The following is an 18,512-nucleotide window of genomic DNA, read 5'->3' as shown; positions in this document are numbered from 1 at the left end:
TACAGTTAACGAGGGGGATCCAGTGCTGACCAAAAGAAAAACCCCTGCCCTCACCTGGGGAGAGAGCCACAGGCTCTATCTAGTGTCAGCTGTGAAGGCCAGGGGACGAGGGACTGCGGCGGCTGAGAGTCGAGGGAAGGCCCCTGAGGAGGGGGACCGGTGAGGAGACCGCTGAGCGCTAGGAGGGTGAACCCCGGCAGGACTGGGCGGCCTTGTGACCCCGAGGCTGAGTAGGGAGTGGGGTAGGAGGTGAAGACCGGATCCAGTCCCGCCCCAGGGGGAGGGCTCGTTCCTTCGCAGCCACTCTCACGCCGCCACTAGGAAGCCCGCCCCGGGCTGCCCGGACTCGGGCTGGGCCCCTCCAGGCTCCGTAGCCCGCGGTGCGCCACCCCCGCGGACCCAGAGAACGCAGCCCGGGTCTCGGTCACTAGAACTTTAATGATAGAGACTAGGATGCGGAAGCGAGCGCCCCTCCCCGGGGCAGCTGGAGGCTCCGGCTCTTCTTTCCCGGCTCCGTCGGCCCGGGGGCCTTGGTCTCAGGCCCACGGCAGCAGCGTCCGGAGCCGTCCGAGGAGCGCGGCGCGCAGCGCGGCCGGGAGGAAGTGGGCGAGCAGGCCGAGCGCAGCCAGCGCCACCAGCAGCCAGAGGGCGCGCGCGCTCGCGTACAGCGGTGCCAGCCTGCGGGCGGCGGTCAGCGGGGAGGTGGCGCGAGGAGGCCCGCTTCTTCCCCGCCGCAACCCTGGCCCCACGGGGACTTCCTCTGGCCGCCGCCAGGGCTCGCCCACCGAATCCCCAAAGGCGCTGGGCTCCGGCCCGTCGCCCGCCCCCAGCTTCGGTCCCGCTCCCCAGGAGCCCCGCCCGCCCGCGATCTTTCCCCGGCCCCGCCCCGCTCCCCGCCCGGCCCTCACCTGAGCTGCGCGGAGCGCGCGTAGCCCTGGAAGTAGCGGAGGCGCGCGAACAGGTAGACCAGGCCGCACAGGGCCGCCGCCCCTGCGAGAGGTACGCACGGGCCTGGTGAGCGCCCTGCGCGGGTCCCGGGGGTCCAGCGCGTGCGCCCCTGCCCCACACCCCGACCTTCATGAAAGAAGATGCCGGCGACCCAGAGCGTGGCGAGGAACAGCGGGAAGTACTCGCTGCAGTTCACCCTGCGGTGGGCGGGTGGGATGAGCGCGCCGGCCGGGATGGTCCTGCGACCCGGACCCGCCTGGGGCTCGCTCCCCGCCCCGCGCCCTCCCGCCGCGCCTCACTGGGCTCGGTAGACGCGCTCGAACTCGGGTGGGCCGGTGGTGAGCGGCGGCGACACGCGGAAGGCCCTGCGCGCCGAGATCACCTGCAGGGAGAAGTAGGCTGGGGGAGGAGGGGGAGCGGGAGTCAGGTCTGGACACCCGAAGCCCCAGAGATGGGAGTGGGAGGGATCCTGCAATCTGGCCCTTCACTTGGCCGTGTCCTCTCCTCCCTAAGGCGGAACCCCGCCCCCTCCCCGCCCGAGGAGACCTCTCGTCTCACCCATCCCTGGCCTGCCCTGTGTCCCTGACATTCAGCGAGGAGGGCAGGGCTGAAGCCTGGGGCGCAGAGAGGCCCTGTCCCAACCTGTGAGTGTATGGGGGAGGGTGAGTGATTCAGGCACAGGGACACCTGCTCCGCGAGAGAGACCACTTGAGTCCTTGTTTCTGAATCATTTCACTCTCAAAACACAGGCAAATGCAGCTTTCAGGTCCCTGGCCAGGAAGTGCCTCGGGAGTCTGAGGGCAGAGCTGGCTGCATCCTCCCAGGTGCAAGGAAGCACACTCCCTGTAGCTAACAGTCCCTGGTCACCCACCTACCAGCGCCCACCAGCAGGGCCCTCTGACCCTGCCTCAGGCCGGGATCACTAAAGCCTGCGTCCCTGTGCCTCCAAACCTCAGTTTCTCTGTTCCTGCATTCCGGTCCCAGGCCTAAATCTGACAGACACCTTCTCTCCTGCTCCCAGGAGGTTGCAGCTGGGACTCTCCTAGCCTAACCCCAGGACCCCAGGGCTGGGGTAGTTGCAGAGGGTGGGCTGGCCCTAAAGTTTCTCTGTGGGCAGGAGCCCTTCTCTTGGTCAGGTGAGGCCAGGCCAGACCACACACAGACCAGTGCTGGCTGTGCGCTCCCTCCCCAGACCTCCCGTCGGACCATCTCCCCCTGAGTCCTGCAGCCCTGGCACCTTTGGTTCTGGGCCCTCTGCAGATGGGTGTCACAGGGTGGCCATCCAGCTCAGTGCAGGAGCAGCTGGAGGTCAGGCTGGCCTGTCTGTTCAGCCCCTTCAGAGCCCCCTCCCCAGGCTGTGCCTTATCCTAGCCCACACACTGTGGAGTAGTGGTGTCTCTTAGGTGGCAAGGATATCTGGCCAAGGAATGTGTCCTTTAGGGCCAGTCTGAGAAAGGCATTAAGCAGGCTCTTTTTAGGGGGCTGGAGGAAGGAGTCCCACCTCTACCCTGCTCCACGTGGTCCCAGTATGGAGGTGCCTTTGAAGCAGAGCCAGGGAATGGGGGCCGCTTGCTGGGACGCCCAGAGAGGGGACAGCTGGAAAGAGCAGAGATCAGCTTCCCCAAGCCCATGGCTATCCTACCATTTGTCCTGGCACCCTTGCCACCCCCAAGTCCTACAGCTCTCACAGCCAGGTGCCCCCCAGTTCCCTGAAAGTCCCCACCCTCTTCCAGCTTGGGCCTGGGCTGGAGTCCCCACCTCTGCCCTCCACCTGGGCCTAGGGGGCAGAGGGCAAGCTGTAGGGATCTAAGGCCCACCCTCTTCCTAGATAGGAACCAGCCCACCTTGCAGCAGGACTCCCAGGAGGGTGACAGCAGCCAGTAGAGCTACCTCGTCCTTCATGGTACCGTCGGTGTGGTGGCACGGGCTGTGTGTGAAGGCGAGCTGGGGAACGCTTAGCCCCGTCTGCTGCTCAGAGGACGGCCCAGGAGAGGAAGAGCAGCCTCGGTGCTCTCCCCGCCCCATCTCAGTGGAGGGGGTGCACGGGGGTGTGACCATACCACACAGAGCCAGGGAGCCAGGCCAAGCCAGCAGGGAGGAAACCAAAGTCTGGGCAGGGGAGAGCAGCTAGCTGGAGACCGCCTCACCACTTCCTGCTTGTTCGTGCCCCTTCCTTGCCTAGTCCCGCGTGGCAGAGCCCAAGCTGTCCATCTGGGTCAGCTCCAGCTGTGGGTGTGCCCCCTGCTGCACCACCCCACTTTCTCCAGGGCCTTGCAGACCCCCACATCATGCTGGAGCCAGCCCCAGGCTCCCGGCTAACTCCTCCACCCACCTTATCTGTTCCCTGTCCCCATCCAGGCTGTTCCTGGCAACCCCTGCCAAACCCTCCTCTGCGGAAGCCCTTCCCAGTGCCTTTGGCTTCAGAATGGAGTCCCAGCGCCCCCCCAGCCACACTGGGCCCCACAAGCTCTTTCTCCTTCAGGAAACCTCATGCCTGCCAGCCTTAGTCGTTGTAGGGGTTCCATGCACAAGGGCCACCCTGCCAGGAGGAAACCTGTCCAAGGCCCCCTGGGTGGCGGGAGGGTCAGCCCTTGTGGGCCATCCCTCTCCCAGGCCTCTCTTGGGCCTCCCACAACAGTCACCTGCTGTGTCTTTCTGCCCCGCAGCCCTCTTGCCTCAAGGTAACAACCCTCCACCACCTTCCTAGACGGCTGCCCTCCCCACACTCAGGCCCTGTGGTCTGGACAGTGCTGACTCCTGCCCCTTCCAGGCCTGTGAGATGGACACTGAGCCAAGGCTGACTCAAGATGGTGAGATGTAGTTCTGGAAACTTCCTTAGGACTTTGGGACAGGAAACTCAGAGTGGGGAGGGGGACTACGGCGGGCCACCCTGAGGACAGAGCCCACGCAGGGCCAGGTGGAGAGGAAAGGTGGCACCCGAGGACTCCTGCCTGGAGTTCTGGGTGTCTCCCTCGCCCCGCCTGGAGCGCCCCCGGCCGCCCCCCTCGCCCTGCCTGGAGTGCCCCTGGCCGCCAGCCTTCCCAGTTGGGCCTAACGGTCACTTCCTCTTTTGGCTTGAGTGGGTTTGCGGTGGCTTTTGGTCAGAAGTGGCAAAGTCCAGACTGACCCAGAAGCACGGGCAGGAGCTGGGGGAGGCCACAGGCCGTGCTGCAGGGGTCGGGCCGCATGGTTCTGCCCTCGCACCTGGTCCTTCCTTGCTGCCCCAAGCTCAGCTCCAGCCTGAGGCTCGGAGCCTGTTGGGCTCTCTCAGAATCCCTTCTTCCTCCTCTGGGTATCGCCCCTGCCCCCGGAAACCAGATATGCCCCAGCTGGGGGCTCTGTGAGCTCCTCCAGGGCAGGGGCCAGGGCTCAGGCCCGGCCCCTGCTTTAGACCAAGCTGTGACAGTCATCTTGGGGCTCAGTGATGGAGGACTGCCTCCTAGATCCCGGACACAGATGTAGTGCCAGGGAGCGATGGTGGCCGCGTCCTCAGACTCTGCCCACTCAGCCTCCTTCCTCCCTGAAACCTGCCCCACAGGGCCTGCCTGAAGGGTGGGATGCAGCCCACCACGCAGGGGTTGACGCTGGTGCCAGTGGGCTGTGCCCAGGGTGTCTGTGTGCACCACGCATACATACCTGCATGCCCCTTGGTCAGTTGTCACACACCCATGTCTCTGTGCTTGTGGGTGTCCAAGTGTCTTCGTGAGTCCAGGCCCTCCTGTCAGCCAAGCTCTCATTTCCTCCAAGGCCTGAATGTCCTCCCGTCGGAGTTCATCCCCTCAGTCCACAGCAGGAAGCCAAAGCCTAACATCAGCAGCTTCTGAGGAAGTCCCTTGGCAGATGTGCAGGGCAGGGACCTGGGTCTTGGCCCCGGGAGCCCTCCCCGGGTCTCTTGGTTCCCACCTCCCTCCCTCTGAGCCTGCCCAGGCTGTCAGGGCCCTGCCTGGGCTCAAGCCAGCTCAAGCTGACAGGAGGGCCAGCCAAGCCCCCACCCCTGCTCGGGCCACCCAGCTTCCATCTTCCTGTCTAGCTCTGGAGGCACCAGCATCAGGAGGGAAGCGAAAGCTCCTCCCTGAGCCTCCACAGAGCCCTAAGGAGTCTCTGATGCCCACTCACCAGGACCTCTGGGCGGCAGAAAGGCCGGCAGAACCATTGCACAGAGAAGAAATCAGAACTTCTGTGGAGTGGATCATAGGCAGTGCACAACTCAGACCCTGAGCTTGAACAAGAAAGTTTATTTAGAAATTATTTTATATTTGAGACAGGATCGTGCTCTGTTGCCCAGGCTGGAGTGCAGTGGCTCAACATGCCTCACTGCATCCTCAAACTCCCGGGCTCAAGCAATCCTCCCACCTCAAGCCTCTCAAGTAGCTGGGACCACAGGCTCTAATTTTTTTTTTTTTTTTCCAGAGATGGAGTCTTGCTATGTTGCAGGCTGGTCTCAAACTCCTGGGCTGAAGTGATCCTCTGCCTCAGCCTCCCAAAGTGCTGGGATTACAGGCATGAGCCACCATGCTTGGCTGAAATTATTTTAGACTTACAAAAAAGTTGCAAAAATCTACAGTCTCGGCCAGGCGCGGTGGCTCATGCCTGTAATCCCAACACTTTAGGAGGCTAAGGTGGGCGGATTACCTGAAGTTAGGAGTTTGAGGTCAGCCTGGCCAACATGGTGAAACCCCATCTCTACTAAAAATACAAAAATTAGTCAGGCGTGGTAGCAGGCACCTATAATCCCAGCCACTTGGGAGGCTGAGAGAGGAGAATTGCTTGAACCCAGGAGGCAGAGGATGCAGTGAGCCAAGATCACACCTGAGCGACGGAGCGAGACTGTGTCTCAAAAAAAAAAAAAAAAAAAAAAAAAAAAAAAAAAAAAAAAAAAAAACTTGTATAACCAAAATTCAGTTATAAACCAAGAGATTTCCATTGATACAAGTTAGTAATCAAGTATTTTACGGATCTTATTCAAGTTTCACCAACTGTCCTACTGGAATAGTACAAAGACCTCAAAAACTTTATGCTAAATTGTGCCAGGCTGGGCATGGTGGCTAACGCCTGTAATCCCAGCACTTTGGGAGGCCGAGGTTGTGGACCACCTGAGGTCGGGAGTTCAAGACCAGCCTGACCAACATGGAGAAACCCTGTCTCTACTAAAAATACAAAATTAGCCGGGCATGGTGGTGCATGCCTGTAATCCCAGCTACTCCGGAGGCTGAGGCAGGAGAATTGCTTGAACCCAGGAGACAGAGGTTGCAGTGAGCCAAGATCGCGCCATTGCACTCCAGCCTGGGCAACAAGAGCGAAACTCCGTCTCCAACAAAAAAAAAAAAGAAAAGAAAAGAAAAAAAAAAAAAGGCACAGAGAGGGCCAGGCGCGGTGGCTCACGCCTGTACTCCCAGCACGAGGTGGGCAGGTCACGAGGTCAGGAGATCGAGACCATCCTGGCTAACACGGTGAAACGCCGTCTATACTAAAAAATACAAAAAATTAGCCGGGGGTGGCGGTGGACGCCTGTAGTCCCAGCTACTCTGGAGGCTGAGGCAGGAGAATGACGTGAACCAGGGAGGCGGAGCTTGCAGTCAGCCGAGATCGCGCCACTGCACTCCAGCCTGGGCAACAGAGCTAGACTCCGTCTCAAAAATAAAAAAATAGAAAAATTAAACCATAGACTTAGAGAAAACATTTGTGAATCATATATATGATTAAAAAAATACTTTGAATTCAAAATATATAAAAACTCTCAAAACTGGATAGTAAGAAGACAGTTTCCTGAGTAAATGGGTGCAGATCCCTGTAGGGCAGAGATCACCTGCTGTACAGCTGAGAACTGATTCAGTCTGGAAGTGGCCTGGGATCGTGAGAACCTGAGTCTTTACTGGGGCAGCTGGCCTGGCTTCTCTCTGCTTCTCTGTTCTTCTTCTTTTCTTTCTTTCTTTCTTTCTTTTTTTTTTTTTTTGAGACAGAGTCTAGCTCTGTCGCCCAGGCTGGAGTGCAGTGGCGCCATCTCGGCTCACTGCAAGCTCCGCCTCCCAGGTTCACGCCATTCTCCTGCCTCAGCCTCCCGAGTAGCTGGGACTACAGGCGCCCGCCACCACGCCTGGCTAATTTTTTGGTATTTTTAGTAGAGACGGGGTTTCACTGTGTTAGCCAGGGTGGTCTCGATCTTCTGACCTTGTGATCCACCCGCCTTGGCCTCCCAAAGTGCTGGGATTACAGGCGTGAGCCACTGCACCCAGCTTTTCTTTTCTTTTTGAGATAGGGTCTTACTCTGTTGCCCAGGCTGGAGTGCAATGGCGTGATCTCAGCTCACTGCAACCTCCGCCTCCTGGGTTCAAGCAATTCTCCTGCCTCAGCCTCCTGTGTAGCTGGAATTACAGGCGTGCACCACCATGCCCAGTGTATTAGTCCGTTTTCACGCTGCTGATAAAGATATACCCAAGACGGGGCAATTTAACAAAAGAAAGAGGTTTATTGGACTTTGGGGAGGCCTCACAATCATGGCAGAAGGCAAGGAGGAGCAAGTCACATCTTACGTGGATGGCAGCAGGCAAAGAGAGAGGAGCTTGTGCAGGGACACTCCCTTTTTTTTAAATTTTTTTATTTTTATTTTTGGTTTTGTTTTTCGAGATGGAGTTTCGCTCTTGTTGCCCAGGCTGGAGTGCAGTGGTGTGATCTCAGCTCACTGCAACCTCCGCCTCCCAGGTTCAAGCGATTCTCCTGCCTCAGCCTCCCGAGTAACTGGGATTACAGGTGTCCGCCACCACGTCTGGCTAATTTTTTGTATTTTTACAAAAAATACAGCCTGCCCATGTTGGGCAGGCTGGTCTCCAACTCCTGACCTCAGTGATCCACCCGCCTTGGCCTCCCAAAGTGCTGGGATTATAGGCGTGAGCCACCAAGCCTGGTCCATTTGATGGTTTTAAAAACAGGAGTTTCCCAGGTGGGCCTGTCCTCACCTGAGGTCAGGAGTTTGAGACCAGCCTGCCCAACATGGCGAAACTCCGTCTCTACTAAAAATACAGAAATTAGCTGGGCATGGTGGCATGCACCTGTAATCCCAGCTACTTGGGAGGCTGAGACAGAATCACTTGAACCCGGAAGGTGGAGGTTGCAGTGAGCTGAGACCGCGCCACTGCACTCCAGCCCGGGCAAAAATTCAAGTTATAGCACTTTTGATCTCTTGCCACTAAGAAAGGCACACAGGCCTTGGCGGGCCTCTGGAGGCTTTGGATGCAACACAGTTCACACTCGGGACTGCTGCTTTGACTCCTGCCAGGATGCAGGGCAAGCAACCTTCTGCTTGGTTCAGAAAATCGAGCACACCCCCTGGTGCTAGAAATAGCTGTGGTAGAGACAGGGCCAGGTGGTGTTTCTAGCAGAAGCCTCGTGAGAGAGTCATAGTGCATAATCTTATGGTCCCAGATCAAGGCTGTGCCTTCCCCAGCAGGGAATGGACATTGTTCCAAAAACAAAACAAATGAAAACTGGACCTTGGGACATTGGGGCACCAAGTGACTGCGTGGCCAGGGCAGTCTGCCACAGGAGCTGGTTCTGTTGGGCCCAAGAAGTCCAACAGTGTGCAGGCCCAAGGCCATCCTTCCTGCAGTAGAAGGATGCTCCAGCACCCACGGCATCCCAGTGCACAGGTTAGCACAAGCAAACTCCTATGTCACCCACTGCTGTGGCTCCAGCATGCTCCCTGACAGTAGCCAAAACCTGCCTCCAGGGAGAGGCTCTCTTTCACCAATGGCTTGTGTTTCCAGGCTCCTGATGGTGTCTCCTGATGCACAGAAGCTCTTAAATTGACTGTAACAAATGAATCAGTGTTTTACCTTATGGTTAACTCTTTTTGTATTTTGTCTAATAAATTCTTCCCAACTCTGAGGTCATCAAGATAGTCTCCTATATTCAGGTCTGCAATCTACGGTAATCCCAGCTACTTGGGAGGCTGAGGCAGGAGAATCGCTTGAACCCGGGAGATGGAGGTTGCAGTGAGCAGAGATTGCGCCATTGCACTCCAGCCTGGGCGACAGGGTGAGACTCCTTCTCAAATTAAAACAACAACAACAAAAAAAACATTCATTCATGAGGGTTCTGCCCTCATGACCCAATCACCTCTTACTAGGCCCCACCTCCCAACACTGTTGCACTGGGGATTAAGTCCAACACATGAACTTTTGGGGCATGCATTCAGCAGATTTGCTTTGTCTGGATATTTCATATAAATGCAACTATACAATATGTGGTCTTCTGTGTCTGGCACAACTTAGCAAAATGTTTTTGAGGTCTTTGTAGTATTTTCACAACTTTTTTGTAAGGTTGAAAATATTTCAAAATGAAAAGCTAAAAATAGAAAACATGGCCGGGAGCCGTGGCTCATACCTGTAATCCCAGCACTTTGGGAGGCCAAGGCGGGTGGCTCACCTGAGGTCAAGAGCTGGAGACCAGCCTGGCTAACATGGTGAAACCCCGTCTCTACTAAAAACTACAAAAATTAGCCAGGCATGGTAGTGGGCACCTGTAATCCCAGCTACTCAGGAGGCTGAGGCAGGAGAATTGCTGACTCCTGCCAGGATGCAGGGCAAGCAACCTCCTGCTTGGTTCACAAAATCCGGAGGCAGAGGTTGCCGTGAGCCAGGATTGTGCCACTGCACTCCAGCCTGGGCGACCAAGCGAGACTCTGTCTCAAAAACAAACAAAAAAAAGAAAACATGAATTGCTCGTGGCCCTTTCCCGCGTGGAAGGGACTCAGTTTGCACCGGGTGGTGACTGGTCTCCTCACTCAGTCCCTTGAGGAGACCAACGCTGGTCTCTGTCACTGGCAGGCTGGAGACTTGGGCACTTGGGTGGCAGATCCGGGTTTGTCTGGGTGAGCCAGAGCCACGATGCTGGGATCCCGCTGGGCCCCACCCCTGCCACTGCTGCTTACTGCTCTTGAGCCCGCCTTGCTGGGCCCAGCACTCGGGGGCCATGACAGAGGCTGGCTGGTGGTCACTGCAGCTGCAACTGGGACTCAACTTTGCTGTGTTTGCAGCAGACTGCTGTCAGCTGCTAGGGATCATTTGCGTTTCGTTGGGCCCAGACTGGAAAATCAAATGGGCATCTATGGCCAGGCGTGGTGGCTCACTCCTGTAATCCCAGCACTTTGGGAGGCTGAGGTGGGCGGATCACCTGAGGTCAGGAGATTGAGACCAGCCTGGTCAACATGATGAAACCTCGTCTCTACTAAAAATACAAAAATTAGCTGGGCGTGGTGGCGGGAGCCTGTAATCCCAGCTTGGGAGGGTATGGCAAGAGAATCGCTTAAACCCAGGAGGCGGAGGTTGCAGTGAGCCGAGATCGTGCCACTCTACTCCAGCCTGGGCGACAAGAGCGAAATTCCATCTCAAAAAAAAAAAGGCACCTATGAGGCAGACGCCACCCTGTGTCTGACCCACTGGGAAGCAAGGCTCCTTGTCATTTCTTCTCTGGGCCTTCCCCACTGTGGCTTCCCAGGCCAATACCCCGTGTGAGGCTTCTGTCAACTATGAAGTGAGTCCTCTTTGATTAGATATCAAGGCCAAGGAAATGGCTGGGTGGAGCTGTGGACCCAGTGGTCCCACTGGGAGCTGGGCCTAGGCCAGGATGATTCTTCTTTCTTCTTTCTTCCTTCTTTCTTCTCTCCTCCTCCTCTTCTTCTTCTTCCTTTCTTCTTCTTCCTTCTCTTTCTCCTTCCTCTTCTTTTCTTCCTCCTCCTCCATTTTTTTTTTTTGAGATGGAGTTTCATTCTTGCTCCTGGAGTATAATGGCACAATCTCGGCTCCCTGCAACCTCTGCTTCCCAGGTTCAAGCGATTCTCCTGCCTCAGCCTCCTGAGTAGCTGGGATTACAGGTGCGCCCCACCACTCTCTGCTAATTTTTTGTATTTTTACTAGAGACAGGGTTTCACCATGTTGTCCAGGCTGGTCTTGATCTCCTGACCTCAGGTGATCCACCCACCTCGGCCTCCCAAAGTGCTGGGATTACAGGTGTGAGCCACTGAGTGCAGCCCTCCTGCAGAACATATTTGGCTGGTAGGTGTCAGGGCCATCACAAACAGAGTACAGCCGACCCTTAAACATTGTGGAGGTTAGAGGCGCTGACCCCTGCACAGCCGAAAATCCACTACATCTTTTGGCCCCTCCAAAACTTAACTACCAATAGCCTACTGTTGACGGAAAGCCTTAGAGAGAACATAAAGAGTCCACGAACACCTGCTTTGTATGGGAAGTGTGTTGTCATACACTGTGTTCTTACAATAAAGTAAGCTAGAGAAAAGAAAATGTTCAGAAAATCATAAAACACATTTATAGTACTGTACTGTATCAATACCGTGCGTTTATGTCATCCATTTACAAGATGAATCGGCTGGGAGGGTGGCACCCGTGGCTGCAGACCTCAATCTATAATACCTATCAAGCAACTTAAATTGTTCTTATCGTCATGACTTTCCTTTGCTTCTTGGAGGCACTTGCAGCATCACTAATGGCACGTTGTATGGGTCCCATGGTGTTACTGAAGATTTACAGTACTGCACCAAACATGATGAAAAAACACAAGAACTGACAGAGATCCCTTTTTTTTTTTTTTTAAATAAAGTCTTGCTCTGTTGCCCAGGCGGGAGTGCAGTGGCACGATCTCGACTCGCTGCAACCTCTGCCTGCCAGGTTCAAGTGATTATCTTGCCTCAGCCTCCCGAGTAGCTGGGATTACAGGTGTGCGCCACCACGCCTGGCTAATTTGTATATTTTTAATAGAGACAATTAAAAGGTCAGCAGGAAAAGGTTTCACCATATTGGCTAGGCTGGTCTTGATCTCCTGACCTCGGCCACCCCAAGTGCTGGGATTACAAGCATGAGCTACTGCGCCCAGCCGAGAGATCCCTTTTTACTGTGATCTACAATTTACTGGAGGGACAAACTGCTCCCTTGGAGCTGATGAGACGCATGGCGCTTTAAGCAGATCATCGCCACTCTCAAGTCCACTGCAGTAACTACAGGAGATGGCTGTGAGATCAGCAGGGCAGTACAGTATGTGCTACGGTCAACTGTATGCAGTTATAAGTTTTTTGTCAAACAATTTTAATCCAGTTAATGGTAAGCAAAGTGCAATGCCATGAAAAGCCCTGTATTTTGCGTGTTTAAACTGTTTTTCATTGTCTTTGCTTGTCAGGTTTTGAAGATGGGACCCGCTCCTGTCTTCTTTCTAGTGGTAGAAAATGGCACATATTGTTCTGGGGTGCCACTCACGCTTAACTTATGGTTTGTCCAAAGAATCTGCGAGCAGGAGGTGGTTTTGTTGTTGGAGGATCATGAGTCTGAGTGAAGCAGAGGATGCCACTTGGGAGGCACCATGCTTCCAGCCACATCCCAGAATGTTTTTGTCACTCATTTCAGTATATGTGACCCATCAGTGGTAGCCAAACGTTGCTTGTTGTCTTCATAGTATTTGTTTCCATATTTTTCCTCCCCCACTTATGTGCCAACCCTCCCATCATTTGCCCTGAAAAAAATTCATAACTAGCCATGGAGGCAGCTGTAGCTGCTGACCTGCTGCAAGCTGGGCTTCAGGACCTGCAGTCATTTGGCCTCGTCTTTCAGGCTGCGGCTATATTTATACTGCACCTTTACATTTCTCTTAACTACAAATGTGCCACGTAGTGTTTGCATGTGTAACTTTTGACCAAAAAAACTTTTTTTTTATTTTCTTTTTTGAGATGGAGTCTTGCTCTGTCCCCCACATTGGAGTGCAATGGCGCGATCTCGGCTCACTGCAACCTCCGCCTCCCAGGTTCAAGTGATTCTCCTGCCTCAGCCTCCCCAGTAGCTGGGATTACAGGTGCCCACCACCACACCCAGCTAGTTTTCATATTTTTAGTAGAGACGGGGTTTCACTAGGTTGGCCAGGCTTGTCTCAAACTCCTGACCTCAGGTGATCCACCCGCCTCGGCCTCCCAAAGTGCTGGGATTACAGGCGTAAGCCACTGCCCCCAGTAAAAAACCTTTTTTTTGGAGACAGGGTCTTGCTATGTTTTCCAGGCAGGAGTACAGTGGTGTGACCTTGGTTCACTGCAGCCTCAAACTCCTCGGCTCAAGCAATTCTCCTATCTCAGCCTCCCAAGTAGCTAGGACTACAGGCATGTGCCACCATATCCAGCTAATTGTAGAGACGAAGGTCTCACTGTTTCCCAGGCTGGTCTGAAACTCCTGGCTTCAAGTGATTCTCCCACCTCAGCCTCCCAAAGTGTTAAGATTACACGTGTGAGCCACTGCACCTAGACTAACTTCTAACTTTCTGTAATAGATTTGTGTATATTTTATGGTAGTAAATGATAAAATAGACTAGTACCTACAAATATTTTATGCGTCCATGACATACCTAGCTTTTTCTTAATTTGTTCACTATCTCTAAGGCAACACGGTTCAGTTGTGAGTTTTTTCAAATTGTCACAAATTTCAAAAAAAATTTCCAATATATTTATTGAAAAACCCACATGTAAGTGGCCCCAGGCAGTTGAGACCTGCGTTGTTCAGGGGTCAGCTGCATTTCCACTCTCCCACACCCGCTTCTCTGGGCGTTCGTTCGCTTCTTGCAGAGCTGCCACGGTTGCCCCTAGGTTGCTATTCTCTTCCTTGTGGGCCATGGCTTCCTGGGAAGTTTCAGAGAGCCGACCGAGCTGGCAGCCTACGGGCACTGCTTCCTGGGGGCTCTGCAAGGGTGCTGAGTCCTAGGTCATAGCAGAGCCCCATATGGCCATGCCCTTGTCTCAGGCACACTCCTGCTCCCCCCAGGCAGCTCATCTTCTTTCTTCTCTGGCAGGCCCAGCACCCTCCTGCTGACCTTCTTGGTCCAGGGGCCAGGAGGGGTGGTGAGCACAGATCCTAAGGGGAGGTGGCAGAGGCCTGGGCATGACCTTCAAACAAGAGCAAAGCACCGGCCCTTAACAGGGAGGAGTGGGCTTAGAGGTTTCAGGGTGTGGGGGAGGGTGGCGGGGCTGGGGTGTCCAGGTTTTCTAGAGTTCTAGAGTATCGATCCAGATGTCCCCATCCCAGTGTAAGGGTCCCACATTCCTAACTAGGACAATGACCTTGGTATGGCACACTCGGCTAGGTTGAAAGTTCTACCTTCTTGGAGCTCTGAAGCCTTAGTAACAACCCCATGCCTGATCCCTTCAGCTGTGTCCACCCTCTTGCCTGGCTGCCAAGGAGGCCTCTAACGGATCTCACATCGTGTCTTTTCTAGTGATTAGTCATGATCAGCTTTTCATTATCTTTCTCCGAGGTATCACCTATAACCCCCGCAACATCTCTCTCAAGGTCACAGTCACTCCTCCACTTACACTTCCCAAAGGCCTAGGGTACTCTATTCCCTTCCCCAGTGTCCTGCCCTGGTGCCACCACAGCGAACGTTTAACAGTTCCTCTTTACAGCTGTCCCACTTGCCACAGGTGATGGGGTCATCATGGCCAGCAGTCAGCAGCGAGCCAGCTTACAGTCGGCTTCCTGGGACCACTCCCCGCACCAAGTCTCTCGAGCCAGGTGCCCCAAAGGCAGATTTCAAAGGGCATCAGCACCACTCATAAGGGAGCAAGGGCTACTGGATTGGGCAGGCGAGAGGTGGAACTGAGATGCAGACGCAGCAGAGGCCTCAAGACGACAGCACCGGTGCAGTGGAGCCAGGATGGCTCTTTGGAGATGTCCCAAATTGAGGCAAGGGTGTTGGGGTCTCCATACTCCCATATCGACAAGTCTCCAGACATGGGCTGCCCCTGGAAGAGGGCATAACCTTGGGCAGCTCCCCTCCACTGAACACAATTCCCAGGAAGAGTCAGCTATGAGCTGGCAGCAGCTCTGAACAATGAGTGTCCAACACTCCTGGAAATGGGTCTCAGTCCTGACAGGTATCTGGAGTGTATCACAGCCTCTGTAACTGTCCGCTCAGTCTGGTCCAATCTCCCCGCTTTGGGACAGCCACAGAGAGGTCCCATACATGGTTAGCAGTGGCACACTCAGGCTTAGACTCGCCCTGTTCTCCTGCTCTAGTGTTCCTATAATGCCATAGGTTTACTAAGAAGTGGACCCAGGGGAGGGGAATCCAGGATCAACTGGATAGAGTAGGTTAAATGCAAGGAATGACAGACAGCTGCAAAGTTTAAGGAACATGCCTGTTACTGCACAAGCAAGAATCAAAAAGAAGCCACAGATTTATCTTTTTATGTTTTAAGGGACAGGGTTGGCTGGGTGTGGTGGCTCATGCCTGTAATCTTAACACTTTGGGAGGCTGAGGCAGGAGGCTCGCGTGAGCCCAGGAGTTTTGAGACCAGCCTGGGCAACATACTAAGACCCTGTCTCTACAAATTTTTTTTAAAAAAATTAGCTTGGCATGGTGGTACACGCCTGTAGCCCCAGCTACTCGGGAGGCTGATGTGGGAGGAGTGCTTGAGCCCAGGAGGTGCAGGCTGCAGTGAGCTATGATCATGCTACTGCATTCCAGCCTGAGCAATTCATAGTGAGACCATCTCAAAAAAAAAAAGAGACAGTCTTGCTATGTTGCCTAGGCTGGAGTGCAGTGGCTACTCACAGGTAAAATCATAGCTCACTGCAGCCCCAAACTCCTGGCCTCAAGCGATCATCTCTCTTCAGTCTCCTGCGTACCTGAGACTACAAGCAAAGGCCACCATGCCCGGCAAGATTTAATTTTTCTCATTTTTCAGGCAGTATCTCACTCTGTCACCCAGGCTGGAACACAGTGGTACCATCATGGCTTACTGCCGCCTCGCCCTCCCAGTCTCAAGCAAGCCTCCCACCTCAGCCTCCCTAGTAGCTGGGACTACAGGAGTGTGTCACCACGCTCGGCTAACTTTTTGTAGAGATGGGGTCTCACCATGTTGCCCAGGCTGGTCTCAAACTACTGGACTCAAGCGATACTCCTGCCTTGGCCTTCCAAAGTGCTGGGATTATAGGCATGAGCCACCGCACCCTGCCAAGATTTAAATTTTTTATTACTTGGGGGCTAGGACCTCCTTAGGCCTCTAGCTCTAGAGAGCTCGGACGGCAGTATCTATAGCTCTTGAAGATTCTGCATGTGGTTGGACTCTGTCTTGCGTTATATAAAATCATCTGTTATTACAAGTATAGAACCAGCCTAAAACTTTAAAATTCATGAGAAATGTTATCAGTAGTAATAAATCCAGAAGTAGTGAGCAAGCAGTTGTCTCTGCTACATAAAATGTAGTTAGATCTTAATAAGGATGCAAAATTCCAGTTTTTCGTCCTCAGTCTTGAAAAGTTCTGCTTTCCAGGCACAAAGAAAAGTGGAGGCCTCCACACTGATCCCACATAGCAATCTAACACGGCCTGCTGCTTCTCACCACAGCCCATGTGGTCAGGGCTTGCTTAAGGTCGCCCGCAGTGTGGAAATCCTCAGAGTAAGTCCGTTCTGCAGCCCTGCCTCCAGCAGGCAGCTGGCTGCATTTGTTTGTTTTTGCAGCAGATGGCATCTAGTTCTTCCTAATGTACGTGACCCTTCCCAGAAGACTGACAGGGTGGTGGATCCCTGAATTCTCCCCTTGTGGCGCTGGTTTCTGCTTTGGGTGGGAGTCTGAAGTTATCTTTCCCAACGTCCATGAAATGGTTTTCATGCACTAGCTAAACTCTGCAGCTCAGCTTACTGTAAGCGTGCGAAGAGCAAATTATCCATGAAGCATAAGTAAAGCCAATCTGAAGAGTGGCCAGGACATTAACTGCTTGAACGCAAAAGGGGAAGAAAAGTCCAGTCAAGACATTTGCCACCACTCGCCATTTCCTGTGCTGGCCAGGGCAGTGCCTGGAACACTGAAGTTCAGCCACTAGCTTTGGACCAAGTTCGCAGGTAGCTAACATCTTGCATCTTTCAACAGCTTTAGAGCCACATTGCCAGCTCCAGGCATCAGCTGGCTGGCCTGCAGGGAGCATTACTGATAATGCCACCAACCATGGTGTGCCATCCAACTCCAGGGGCAAGCAAGAGACCCTGGAGCTTGTCCTTGACTTACCTTGGGCATCTTCTGGGGCTGGACAGGGGAGGCGGGCAAGTCTTGTCCAGGCTGGCAGAGGTTTCAGAACAGCACAGGCCTGCACTGCAGGCTGGTTGCAGCTCACAGGCACCTGGAGGATGGCAAGAGCCACCATCCTACTAAATGCAGTGGCATATTGCTTGCTTTCAAATTTGTGGGTTTTTGTTGTTGCTGTTGTTGTTGTTTTGAGACAGAGTTTAGCTTTGTCGCCCAGGCTGGAATGCAGTGGCACGATCCTGGCACTGCAATCTCTGCCTCTTAGGTTCAAGCCATTCTCCTGCCTCAGTCTCCCAAGTAGCTGGGACTACCGGCACGTGCCACCAGGCCCAGCTAATTTTTGTATTTTTAGTAGAGACAGGGTTTTGCCATGTTGGCCAGGCTGGTCTCGGAACTCTTGACCTCAGGTGATCTGTCTGCCCAGGCAGACAGATCCCTCCCAAAGTGCTGGGATTACAAGCGTGAGCCACTGTGCCCGGCCTGCTTTTAAATTTAACATGTGCAGGCATCTGTTAACTTGCTCCTAAGCACTCCTCCCTCTTCCTGTTAACAGCACTGTTTTTTGAGACAGGGTTTCTGCTGCCCAGGCTGCAGTGCAGTGGCATGATCTTGGCTCACTGCAGCCTCAACCTCCTGGGTTGAAGTGATCCTCCCACCTTATTCTCCTGAGTAGCTGGGACCACAGGTGTGTGCTACCATGCCTAATTTTTTTTTTTTTTTTTTTTACAGAGACAGGGTCTCTCTATGTTGCCCAGGCTGGTCTCAGTGATCCTCCCACCTTGGCCTCCCAAAGTGCTGTGATTAGGCCTACGTTGTGTGTCACTTTCTTAAGAGACCTACGTTGCTACCGTGTCTACAGTAGTCTGTGGCTCACCCCAGCCTCTGCAGCCCCACTGCCCTCTCTCATTACCTGGCTTTAGTTTCTCCCTAACACTTACCTCACCTGTGTAAGAACTCCTTCCCATGAGACTGTGAGCTCTGCGGTACAGGGACCTTACCTTCCTGTACTGCCGCAATTTCTATCATATTCCCTGCCTCTAGGGCAATGCCTGGCCACAGCAGGTGCTCCCTAAACATTTGCCAAGTGAACTGTCCCTTACCGAGTCCTCCTCCATCACCCCCAAGCCTGGCTGGTGACCTGGAGAGACTCGGGGTAGTGGCAGGCTGCAGGGATCTGGAACTGCCTGGGCCTTGCCACTACTGAGGCCTGGCCATCCGATGTCTCCTTTGATTCTGAAAGTTACTGGGAACCTTAAAAATGGGCTGTAGGGAAATAATTTATAGGATTATATTAGCCAGATTTCTTTTCTATTGGCTTGCAAGTTAAGAGCCCCAACAAAACCATTATTCCAAATGACTGTCCAAAACCTTCATAAATATTTCAAATGGCTGCATCCTATCTCATGGAGTGGAAGCACCAGTTTGCTTAACCAATCCCCTAGGGCAGCAGTTTAGCATCTCATTTTCTGCGACTGTAAACAGCCATACTAAGAACACC

The 18,512-nt window shown here is 54.0% G+C and overlaps 1 protein-coding gene and 1 pseudogene across 1 annotated transcript, besides 11 other annotated features; both read right to left on the bottom strand.

Annotated features, from left to right (window-relative positions):
* On the bottom strand, positions 284-2,945 carry LTC4S (leukotriene C4 synthase). The gene is made up of 5 exons (NM_145867.2): positions 2,793-2,945; positions 1,248-1,347; positions 1,075-1,145; positions 909-990; positions 284-678 (listed from the first exon to the last, which is right to left on the bottom strand). The coding sequence occupies exons 1-5, from the start codon at positions 2,848-2,850 to the stop codon at positions 537-539; spliced, it is 453 nt and encodes a 150-aa protein (NP_665874.1). The 5' UTR covers positions 2,851-2,945; the 3' UTR covers positions 284-536.
* Positions 305-516: a silencer, noted in NCBI's record as "fragment chr5:179223416-179223627 (GRCh37/hg19 assembly coordinates)". NCBI's record gives its function as "represses an EF-1alpha promoter that drives an FKBP-Casp9 reporter gene in an ReSE screen in K562 erythroleukemia cells {active_cell/tissue: K562}" and the evidence as "EXISTENCE:reporter gene assay evidence [ECO:0000049][PMID:32094911]".
* Positions 305-520: a biological region, named in NCBI's record as "ReSE screen-validated silencer GRCh37_chr5:179223416-179223627".
* Positions 361-520: a silencer, noted in NCBI's record as "silent region_16738". NCBI's record gives its function as "represses an Ori minimal core promoter by ATAC-STARR-seq in GM12878 lymphoblastoid cells {active_cell/tissue: GM12878}" and the evidence as "EXISTENCE:reporter gene assay evidence [ECO:0000049][PMID:35858748]".
* Positions 541-590: a silencer, noted in NCBI's record as "silent region_16737". NCBI's record gives its function as "represses an Ori minimal core promoter by ATAC-STARR-seq in GM12878 lymphoblastoid cells {active_cell/tissue: GM12878}" and the evidence as "EXISTENCE:reporter gene assay evidence [ECO:0000049][PMID:35858748]".
* Positions 631-1,340: a silencer, noted in NCBI's record as "silent region_16736". NCBI's record gives its function as "represses an Ori minimal core promoter by ATAC-STARR-seq in GM12878 lymphoblastoid cells {active_cell/tissue: GM12878}" and the evidence as "EXISTENCE:reporter gene assay evidence [ECO:0000049][PMID:35858748]".
* Positions 631-1,822: a biological region, named in NCBI's record as "H3K27ac-H3K4me1 hESC enhancer GRCh37_chr5:179222110-179222782".
* Positions 1,150-1,822: an enhancer, noted in NCBI's record as "H3K27ac-H3K4me1 hESC enhancer chr5:179222110-179222782 (GRCh37/hg19 assembly coordinates)". NCBI's record gives its function as "activates a minimal SCP1, AML or CMV promoter by ChIP-STARR-seq in naive H9 embryonic stem cells {active_cell/tissue: H9 hESC(naive)}" and the evidence as "EXISTENCE:reporter gene assay evidence [ECO:0000049][PMID:30033119]".
* Positions 2,886-2,955: a silencer, noted in NCBI's record as "silent region_16735". NCBI's record gives its function as "represses an Ori minimal core promoter by ATAC-STARR-seq in GM12878 lymphoblastoid cells {active_cell/tissue: GM12878}" and the evidence as "EXISTENCE:reporter gene assay evidence [ECO:0000049][PMID:35858748]".
* Positions 3,130-3,757: an enhancer, noted in NCBI's record as "H3K4me1 hESC enhancer chr5:179220175-179220802 (GRCh37/hg19 assembly coordinates)". NCBI's record gives its function as "activates a minimal SCP1, AML or CMV promoter by ChIP-STARR-seq in naive H9 embryonic stem cells {active_cell/tissue: H9 hESC(naive)}" and the evidence as "EXISTENCE:reporter gene assay evidence [ECO:0000049][PMID:30033119]".
* Positions 3,306-3,455: an enhancer, noted in NCBI's record as "active region_23761". NCBI's record gives its function as "activates an Ori minimal core promoter by ATAC-STARR-seq in GM12878 lymphoblastoid cells {active_cell/tissue: GM12878}" and the evidence as "EXISTENCE:reporter gene assay evidence [ECO:0000049][PMID:35858748]".
* Positions 3,476-3,555: an enhancer, noted in NCBI's record as "active region_23760". NCBI's record gives its function as "activates an Ori minimal core promoter by ATAC-STARR-seq in GM12878 lymphoblastoid cells {active_cell/tissue: GM12878}" and the evidence as "EXISTENCE:reporter gene assay evidence [ECO:0000049][PMID:35858748]".
* Positions 12,030-12,555, bottom strand: LOC100884169 (NADH:ubiquinone oxidoreductase subunit A12 pseudogene; annotated as a pseudogene).

This window comes from Homo sapiens, chromosome 5, assembly GCF_000001405.40.
Source record: "Homo sapiens chromosome 5, GRCh38.p14 Primary Assembly".
In the NCBI taxonomy this organism is placed as follows: domain Eukaryota; kingdom Metazoa; phylum Chordata; class Mammalia; order Primates; family Hominidae; genus Homo; species Homo sapiens.
This window is presented reverse-complemented; position numbering and strand designations above follow the sequence as displayed.

Coding starts and splice junctions, on each gene's coding strand:
- LTC4S (NM_145867.2), bottom strand. CDS start 2,850: ATGAAGGACGAGGTAGCTCTACTGGCTGCTGTCACCCTCCTGGGAGTC. Junction 991..1,074: donor CGGCATCTTCTTTCATGAAG/GTCGGGGTGTGG, acceptor TACCTCTCGCAG/GGGCGGCGGCCCTGTGCGGC. Junction 679..908: donor GCGCGCTCCGCGCAGCTCAG/GTGAGGGCCGGG, acceptor CGCCGCCCGCAG/GCTGGCACCGCTGTACGCGA.